Genomic DNA, 9,865 nt, shown 5'->3' with positions numbered 1-9,865 from the left:
GCCAAGGCGGGCAGATAACAAGGTCAGGAGATCGAGACCATCCTGGCTAACACGGTGAAACCTTGTCTCTACTAAAAATAAAACAAATTAGCTGGGTGTGGTGGCACGCACCTGTAGTCCCAGCTACTTGGGAGGCTGAGGCAGGAGAATCACTTGAACTCAGGAGACGGAGGGTGCAGTGAGCCAAGATCATGCCACTGCACTCCAGCCTGGGGGAAAAGAGCGAGACTCCATCTGGGGAAAAAAAAAAAAAAAAGGCACGCACTGGCCATATGTCCTGACAGTGGAGACACAGTACAACAACAACAAGTGAGAGGAGAGGGAAGCACATGTACAAAACATTCTTAACAGTTTTCAGTTATCATAATTGGTCATATCAATGTTATGAGACTGTTGTGTGTGAAAGATGAGATAATACAAATGAGTAATTATGGGGTATTTAAATTCCCATCCCTTGTGCCCTTCAAAATCAAGATGCTCAGATATGAAAGAAAGTAGATATAGATGTAATCAAGAGAGGTTAAGTTAAAAAACAAAAACCTATAGTCTTGATTTGAATTAGAAACATCATCATAAACTTATGAGGCATGTTTTGCATAGTCTAGATATCCTAGCTCTGGCCACTGAAAAGACCTAGAAACAATACTGGTCACGACATGCAAACATTAACCCAGAGACTTAAATGTGAGAGCTAAAACTAGGAAACTTCCAGAAGAAAACATAGGCAGCGAAAAATATTTGTGACTTTGGGATAGAGAAAAATGTCTTAGGAAAAAAAGTTTTGATAATCTAAGAAAAAAATGGATCAACTGGACTTCATTAAGTTAAAACTTTCTGCTTTAAAATAACACTGTTAATATCCTCTTAAAATGAGTGAATTTTATAAAATGTAAATTATACTTCAATAAAGCTGTTTAAAATTTAAAAGCAAATAAAAAGATACTAGAAGCAAATAGAGCTTTCTTATTGTTTAAAAAATAACAAAACTCGAAGACACGAAAATGAGCTGTGTGTGGTGGTGCACACCTGTATTCCCAGCTTCTCGGGAGGCTGAGGCAGGAGGATCGCTTGAGTCCAGGAGTTTGAAGCCAGCCTGGGGAACATAGTGAGACCTCCATCTCAAAAAGGAAATAAATAATTTTAAAAAATAAATTTTTTAAATGTACAAAAGAAGGAATTGAAAATGCAAGACAGAGTCTGGGAGTAAATATTCACAACACATGTACCTGATAATGGACTCATATTCAGAACATATAGAGGACTTCTACAACTCAATAATAAAGAAACAAAATGCAATTTTTTTAATTGGCAAAATAACAGATGCTTCACGAAAGAAGGTATGGGAATGGCCGATAGAGATGGATACAACTACACACCCACTAAAACAACTAAAATTTAAAATCCTGAAAATACCTGATATGGTTTGGATTTGTGTCCCCACCAAATCTCATGTCAAACTGTCTCATGTTGAATTCCCAGTGCTGGAGGTGGGGCCTGGTGGAGGTGACTGGATCATGGGGGCAGAGTTCTCATGAATGGTATAGCACCATTCCCTCGGTGTTGTTCCCGTGATAGTGAGTGAGTGAGTGAGTTATCATGGGATCTGGGTGTTTAAAGGTGTGTAGCACCTCCCCACGCTCTCTGGGTTCTGCTCCTGCCATGTGAAGATGCCTGCTTCCGATTCGCCTTCCCCCATAAGTAAAAGCTCCCTGAGGTCCCCCAGAATCTGAAGCCACTATGCTTCCTGTACAGCCTGTGGAACTGTGAACCAATTAAACCTCTTTGCTTTATAAATTACCCAGACCCAGGTATTATTTCTTTTTTTTCTTCTGGTTTTTTTTTTTTTTTGAGTTGGAGTTTCGCCCTATCACCCAGGCTGCAGTGTAGTGGCATGATCTTGGCTCACTGCCACCTCCATGTCCTGGGTTCAAGCGATTCTCCTGCCTCAGACTCCTGAGTAGCTGGGATTACAGGCACATGCCACCATGCCCGGCTGATTTTTATATTTTTAGTAGAGACGGGGTTTCACCATGTTGGTCAGGCTGGTCTCGAACTCCTGACCTCAGGTGATCCACCCGCCTTGGCTTCCCAAAGTGCTGGGATTACGGGAGAGAGCCACCGCAGCTGGCCTTCAGGTATTTCTTTATAGGAATGCGAGAATGAACTGATACAATACCCAAAGCAGACAAGGATGTGGAGCTGGAGTAACTAATTCTCATAGGTTGCTGGTAAGAGTGTATGATGGAACAACTCCTTTGGGAAACAGCTCAGAAATTTCTTTAAAAAAAAAATAAAGTTAAACATGTACCTACCATATATCCCAGCAATTTTACTCCTAGGCATTTACCCAAGAGAAATGAAAACACATAACCTTGCAAAGATTTATACAATGATGAGTATGAGTCAGTAAAGAAAGGAAAGAACTAGAACCCAGAATGAAAGAAGTCAGTCATAGAGGGGATCATTCTATATGTCTGACTCCATGCATAGGAAGTTGTAATATGGATAAATTGATTTCATAGTGATTCAGATCAGATGAGGAGTTGCCTGGTTGGGAAAAAATGTGGATGTTTGACCAGAAAAGGACAGAGAGGACCTGTCTGGGACTTTGGAATGTTCTCTATTTTGATCAAGGTGGTGGTCACTTAGGTATACAATTTGTCACAATTTGTTAACTACACATTTATTGTTTATAAAGTATACCTCAATAAAATTGATTAAAAATAATAGAGTAACAGGCTAGTCAATATACATTTGTATAAATATGGGGGTTTGAGGAAATTCTAAGTCACAGCTCTTCTTTCCTTAAGAAACATTGAGAAGTAGATGCAAGAACCAGGCAGATGGAGATTTTTTAAAACCAGTTTCATTACTGAAGTTGCAAAGGTCACAGTTTTGCCTGGAGACCACAGCTGGGCTCCTTACTTCTTTCCTCTTGCCCCTCAACCCAATGCTGGCAAAGCAGGTGCAGTCAGGCTCATGCCCACACCCGCCAAACCCAGCACTGGGCAGAGACGTGGTCTTAATTTGGGTTCAGATTAAGCACAGCCTGAAGCAAGGACTCAGGTGCCGGCAGTTGATTTGGGAGGTGATTTCAGGAAGCAGGAGTGACAGGCGAGGAGAGCAAGGCAGTGCATGGGGAGGATCCAGCGTAAGAGAGACCCATGGTGGTGGCTGCTGCTGCAGGCAGGGTGGCAATTCCAAGGCACCCTCTGAGAGGCACCCATAAGGACTCACAGAGCTTTTACAAAGGAAGCAAAGCCGTGCCTTCATCCACCACCCCTCTCCCACATGACTAGTGCCTACTGAATTTACCTGGCTTTCGATTCTCAGAAGGCAGGGTGGCTTGGGCTGGGAGGGTCAGTGTTTGCAGAAGGAGCCGACCAAAGCTGGCTGTTGCCATTGATGGTGAACCCCTCAAGGGCAGAAATGCTGAGTTACTCATCTCAGTGGCCCCCAGCACACTGATTGGTACAAAACAGATGGTACACAGTACATACTGCACAGTAAGTAAAGGAGGGAGGGAGGGAGAGAGGAAAGAAGGAAGAGGGGAAGGAGGGAGGGAGGGAGGAAAGAAGGAAGAGGGGAAGGAGGGAGGAAAGGAAGAGGGGAAGGAGAGAGGGAGGAAAGAAGGAAGAGGGGAAGGAGGGAGGGAGAGAGGAAAGAAGGAAGAGGGGAAGGAGGGAGGGAGGAAAGAAGGAAAAGGGAGGAAAGAAGGAAGAGAGGAAGGAGGGAGGGAGGAAAGAAGGAAGAGGGAAAGGAGAAGGGAGAGAGGAAAGAAGGAAGAGGGGAAGGAGGGAGGGAGGGAGAGAGGAAAGAAGGAAGGGGGAAGGAGGGAGGGAGGAAAGAAGGAAGAGGGGAAGGAGAAGGGAGAGAGGAAAGAAGGAAGAGGGGAAGGAGGGAGGGAGGGAGAGAGGAAAGAAGGAAGGGGGAAGGAGGGAGGGAGGAAAGAAGGAAGAGGGGAAGGAGGGAGAGAGAGAGGAAAGAAGGAAGAAAGGAAAGAGGGAGGGAGGGAAAAAAGAGAAGAAAGGAAAGAGGGAGGGAGAGAAGAAGAAAGAAAAGAAGGAGGGAGGGAGGAAAACAGGAAGGAGGGAAAAGGAGAGGGAAAAAGTCTTATCCCTATGAAGGGGCAGGTCCTGGGACAACTTCACAGTATCAAGGAAGATACAGGGGTCACACTGAGCTGGTGAGGGATGGGGATGGGGAGTGTCCAGAAGTGGGAAGGTCTCTAGTGAGAGAGGACTCCTGTTCCAGGGGGAGAGCACAGGATTCAGGCTGGAGAAACAGCATGTCAACAGACCCAAGGGTTAAGTGTGTGCAATGCTGTGATTTAAGAAATACATATTTGGTCCCTGCCCCAGGCCCCTGACACACAGCTCCTGATGCCCTTGGACTCTCTGGAGTGATGAGTGTCTTTTTTATGCTAATGAGATGACTGGTGGCTGGCAGCATAGACCAAGGCAGGATTAGAGGGTTGGGACTTTAAGCCCCACCTCCAAACCTCTGCGGAGGGGACAGGGGCTGAGGGTTGAGTTGATCACCAATGGCCAGTGGTTTAATCCATCATGCCTACCTAATGAAGTCTCCATAAAACCTCAAAGGGACAGAGCTGGGGTGGGTCTCCAGATAGCTGAACACGTGGAGGTTCTTAGAGAGTGGTACAGCTGGACAGGGTGGGAGCTCTGTGCCCCTTTCCCCATGCCTTGCCCTGTGCTGCTCTTCCACCTGGCTGCTTACGGGCATCCTTTGTAATACCCTTTATAATAAATGGATCAATATATGTAAAGTGTTTCTCTGAGTTCTGTGAGCTGCTCTAGCAAATTAATCAAACCTGAAAAGGGGGCTGTGGGAACCCCTATTCATAGCCAATCAGTCAGAAGCTCAGGCCACAGTCTGGGGCTTGTGATTGACATCTGAAGTGAAGTGCAGTTTTGTGGGACTGAGCCCTCAGCCTGTGCGATCCGATGCTACGATCTGATGCTATCTCCAGGCAGACAGGGCCCGAATTGAATTGCAGGACACCCCGCTGGTGTCCGCTGGAGAACTGCGTGGCATGGGGGGAACCTCCCTGCACGTCTGATGTCAGAAGTGCTGTGCTGAGTGCTGTGCTGAGTGCTGTGAGAGATTAGGAAAAATGCCTTGGTTTTTCCCATCCTTGGTTAATGTAGAACCAAGAAAATCAAGCATGACGTTGGTGCAGGAAGGAGCAGAATCAGACCCACTGTGAGGGGCAAGGTGGCTGAGGGCCTCCATCAGCAAGATTAGGGATTGGGTTCTGGCCAGCTCTTGGGTTAGCAAGATTCGTGAGAGAGTGGGCAGAGGCCGTTGGTGCCCCATCCTCAGCTGACCCCAGGGAACACATTCCCACCCCCTCAGGCCATCTCCCGTGTCCTGTGCCTGACGAGCTTCTCCAGCAGCTGGAATGACCTTCACCGGGGCATAGCCTGGGTGGCTGCAAAAACTCCTTGGCTTCCTGCCCTTGGTGGGACGATTCCGAGGGGCACCAGATAGACTCTCAGAGGGTCCCTGGTGCACCGAGCTCCTGAGGCCCACCCACCACAACTGTCTCATGACCCTCCCTGGTTTTGGCTTTCCTCCCATCCCTGTTCCCTCATCTATTTCCTGGAACAACTTCCCAGATAAACTACTGACACCTAAGTCTCAGGACCTGCTTCATGGGCACCTCAAACTGTAAGTGAATAAAGGACAGTGGGCTGAACTGCAGGCTGAGTTGGCTCACATGGAGGTGAAATGAATGGCCCCGAGAGCTGGACGCACTGGTGTCTCTGTGATCACACTCTACTACAAGTGTGCGGCCACCTTCTCCAATCGGCCGAGTATAAAAAACAAAATTAAGACCCGCCCTGATCATTTCCTTCTTGTGGCTACCATATTTGTTTGCTTGGGCCTCGGCAACAAAGTACCACAGACTGGGGGGTGTAAACAACAGAAACTGACTTCCTCACTGTTCTGGAGGCTGGAAGTCTGAGATCAAGGTGTCAGCTGGGCTGGTTTCTGTTGAGGCCTCTCTCCTTGGCTTGCAGACGTCTGTCTTCTCCCTGTGTCCTCACATGGACTTCTCTGCGTGTATCTGTGTCCACATTTCCTCTTTTACGAGGGCATCAGTCCCATTGGATTAGAGCCCACCAGTTTGACCTCATTTTAGTTTAATTATCTTTTTAAAGACCCTATGTCCAGACTGGACACAGCAGCTCATGCCTATAATCCCAGCATTTTGGGAGGCCAAGGCAGGTGGATCACCTGAGGTTAGGTGTTCGAGACCAGCCTGGCCAACATGGCAAAAACCCATCTCTACTAAAAATACAAAAATTAGCTGGGCATGGTGGCGCACACCGTAGTCCCAGCTACTTGGGAGGCTGAGGCAGGAGAATATCTTGAACTTGGGAGGCAGAGGTTGCAGGGAGGTGGGGACAGTCATATTCTGAAGTACCTACATTCACAAGGACTTCATCATATGAATTTGGAGGGGGACATAATTCAGGTCAAACACTAATCCTGAATCTTTTTTTTTTTTTTTTTTTGAGACAGAGTCTTCCTCCATCCCCCAGGCTAAAGCGCAGTGGTGCGATCTTGGCTCACTGCAACTTCTGCCTCCCAGGTTCAAGCAATTCTCCTGCCTCAGCCTCCCGAGTAGCTGGGATTACAGGTGCCCACCACAGTGCCAGGCTAATTTTTGTATTTTCAGTAGAGATGGGGCTTCACCATCTTGGTCAGGCTGGTCTCAAACTCCTGACCTCGTGATCCACCCGCCTCGGCCTCCCAAAGTGCTGGGATTACAGGTGTGAGCCAATGCGCCGGGCCAATCCTGAATCTTTTATTACAAGCCGGCTGGCTAGTCATTTGGTTTGGTGGCCCACATGGGCTGACCTGTGGACAGCAGGGGACCCCCCGGGACAGGCACTCTCTCCCCAGGCATTGCCTTCCCCGCCTCAAACGCCAAGGTCACTCTGGCCATCTGCTGCCCAGAGCTCACTGTGAGCTTAACCCCCACTGGGGTTTTAAAATTTAAATCCCCTCGCAGAATATTATTCCCTGCACCTCTTTCCTATTCCGGGTCCCAAAGAAGGCGGCAGTCATTGAGACCCGGCCATTCAGTCCTCCCACGAGTGAGCTTGGGCTTTCAAGGTGCAGACGATCTGGAGTGGTTTGCACTTGTGTTTTAACGTCCTCCAACTCCAGAGCATTTCCCCGAGCACAGGAGAGGCCTGAGCTCCTTCCCTTCCACCTGCGTCTGCCCCATACAAAGCTCCGTTTGTGTCCCTGCGGCTGAGGAGAAACGGCTACTCCGCGCCACCTCATCCACCGACAGGCCACAAAAGCCCAAGCACGAGGTGAGGCTCAAAACAGGCCAGGCCCAGGCGCTGCCAAGCCAAACACAGAGGAAACGGGTGCGAGCCCAGCAGAGAAACCAGATTCCCCTGGAAATCGCTGCTCCCCGCCGTGTCTGGAAGGCCAGCCCCAATAAAGCGGCTCCGGAAGACCTGAAGGACCCCCATGGCCCTCATCTTGATGGAGATGCCAATAAAAATCTCAGAACATCCAGCCTGCAGGCCCTGTAGGCACTGCCCCGGGGCTGTAAACCCGGATACGAGCAGCTGGGGAGCCGGAGGGAAGAGGCCTGCTCCCAAGAAAGCCCACCAGCCAGCCCGGCCAGGCCCGCAAGTAACCGAGACGCCTTCAGGGAGAGGCAGGCAGGGCAGCCTGGACGGGAGGGAAGCCTGCAGCCGGGGCCCTGCTCCAAACCAGGTCCAAAGCTGTTAAATCCATGGGAACTTCAGGAAAGAGTAATGGCTGCCCAGAACTGCAGGTTCTTAAAGAAACCCGGGAGGAACCCGCCTCAGGAAGCAGCAACAGACCCTGCGGTTGTAAACTCAACTCGGAGGGCACCTTGGGGACACAGCTGTGCTCATGATAGAGGAGGAAGTGTGTGTGTGTGTGTGTGTGTGTGTGTGTGTGTGTCTGAATCCATGGCAAAGGACAGCCAAGTTATGCATACGTGTGCACTATTTGTGTCTCTGTATCGGGGGTGTTGTGGAGGCATATCCACAAATGTGTGTATTTGTGTGTCTGTAGCATTCTCAGATTTATCAAATAAAAATACAGGATGTCCAGTTAAATTTGAATGTAGGCAAAAAGCAAATACTTTTTGAATGTGAGTATTCCCAAATATTGCCTGGGACGTACTTATGCTAAAAAGTGCTCGTTGTTTATCTGAAATTCAAACGTAAGTGGGTGTCTTGTATTTCTCTAGCAACCCTATGTGTGCATGAATGTCTAAATTCAGAGTGACAATGACATTTGAGATCACAGAAGTGGTCTTTAATAAAGAGACAAATATATATACACACTCATATACTTTGCCTCCTTACACACACATATATAAAATGATACTATAATAGTCCTCAAAAGTTCTCCTAACAGGTGATTAGTCATTCTTTGTAAGAAGAAAATTAGGTGCCTTGTATGGTATGGTTGTAACCTAAATGCATTTAACTTGCAAATTCATCTACAGGAGCTTGCACAGACAGAGGCATAACACATGTAAATGGTGTGGTAATAGCTCCTGCTGTTCCACTCAGAGTTGAGGTTGGGAGACTTGCCTCTGCGCTCCCTCCACCATCTCAGCCCCAGACACCGCCCCAAGGGGAGCACTGGCTATCCAGGCTTCTCTAGGGCTTAAAGTCATACATATTTTTCTACCCTGTGACTCTGAAAGGTAAGCCAGTTCCTTCATTTGGGGCATCCCACAGAGACAGAAATCTGTTTGAAGGGGATGGAAAGAACTGGTTTGAACCTTCCGGACGCCAGAGGAACTGAACATTCAACACAAAGACTTTTTTTTTCCCCTTCAAAAATGGTCTGAGCTTGCAAACTCCCAAACACTAAACATCTTTCAAGGATAACTTATTCAATGGTATCACTACATGCCCCACTTGATGTAATAAACATTTCCCAGGCCATTCCTTAGCCTTTTCCTGGGTAAGGATGTGAAGGACAGGAGTTCAGGAGATGGGTAAGGCACAGGTATGGTGGGTAGGAAGAGGGGCTGTCAAACCAGACTGGGCCCTAGAAATCCTCTAGCTGAGGGATCTCAAACTGGCACCCTGCTCGCCAAGTCTGCCTGGTCAGCAGCGCACGGTCATCTTTAAATGTTTGAATTTAGTGCTTACAGGCAGGGCACGCACCCTCCATTTTCACCCCTACCCTTTACCCTCTATGATCTGAGGATCAGCTGTTTATTATACGTGGGCCGCCTGCCTGCTCCTGCGCAAGACAGACTCCATTCGTGAGGACACTGGGTCCCACACAGAGTGGGGCTCATAGCAAGGCAGGGCAGGAACTCAGGTCTCCAACTCCCAAGCCAGGGCAGGACTCTGTTTCCCCTCCATTCTGCAGCCCTCAGGCCATGGAAGAGTGAGTCCTGCTAGTTGAGAACGCAGAAGTGAGACATGATCCCTCAGTCCATGTCACCTTGGGAAGCCTCCTCAGCCGTGGTGACACTACTCTCAAATCTGAATCTGATCAGGCGGAACTCAAAGGGTTACCCTGATCCTGCTCTGTTTACAGACCTCGATCCCAGCTCCTTCATTTAATTTGGTTTTTGTTTTCCTGGTTTGTTTGCTTGTTTGTTTGAAACAGAGTCTCACTCTGTTGCCCAGGCTGGAGTGCAATGGAGCGATCTTGGCTCACTGAAACCTCCACCTCCTGGGTTCAAGCCATTCTCCTGCCTCAGCCTCCCCAGTAGCTGGGATTACAGATGCATGCCACCATGCCCAGCTAATTTTTTTATTTTTAGTAGAGACAGGGTTTTGCCATGTTGGCTAGGCTGGTCTCGAACTCCTGA

At 48.3% G+C, this 9,865-nt stretch overlaps 5 annotated features.

Moving 5' to 3' along the window:
* Positions 5,734 to 8,801: an enhancer, noted in NCBI's record as "VISTA enhancer hs1486". NCBI's record gives its function as "enhancer in: limb[5/8]" and the evidence as "EXISTENCE:transgenic organism evidence [ECO:0001131][PMID:17130149]".
* Positions 5,734 to 9,252: a biological region, named in NCBI's record as "VISTA enhancer hs1486".
* Positions 6,944 to 7,496: an enhancer, noted in NCBI's record as "H3K4me1 hESC enhancer chr14:95837719-95838271 (GRCh37/hg19 assembly coordinates)". NCBI's record gives its function as "activates a minimal SCP1, AML or CMV promoter by ChIP-STARR-seq in primed H9 embryonic stem cells {active_cell/tissue: H9 hESC(primed)}" and the evidence as "EXISTENCE:reporter gene assay evidence [ECO:0000049][PMID:30033119]".
* Positions 8,753 to 9,252: an enhancer, noted in NCBI's record as "H3K4me1 hESC enhancer chr14:95835963-95836462 (GRCh37/hg19 assembly coordinates)". NCBI's record gives its function as "activates a minimal SCP1, AML or CMV promoter by ChIP-STARR-seq in naive H9 embryonic stem cells {active_cell/tissue: H9 hESC(naive)}" and the evidence as "EXISTENCE:reporter gene assay evidence [ECO:0000049][PMID:30033119]".
* Positions 9,253 to 9,754: an enhancer, noted in NCBI's record as "H3K4me1 hESC enhancer chr14:95835461-95835962 (GRCh37/hg19 assembly coordinates)". NCBI's record gives its function as "activates a minimal SCP1, AML or CMV promoter by ChIP-STARR-seq in naive H9 embryonic stem cells {active_cell/tissue: H9 hESC(naive)}" and the evidence as "EXISTENCE:reporter gene assay evidence [ECO:0000049][PMID:30033119]".

The sequence above is a fragment of the Homo sapiens genome, chromosome 14 (assembly GCF_000001405.40).
Source record: "Homo sapiens chromosome 14, GRCh38.p14 Primary Assembly".
Lineage (NCBI taxonomy): Eukaryota > Metazoa > Chordata > Mammalia > Primates > Hominidae > Homo > Homo sapiens.
The sequence above is the reverse complement of the archived record's forward strand: the minus strand, read 5'-3'. Positions and strand labels throughout refer to the sequence as shown.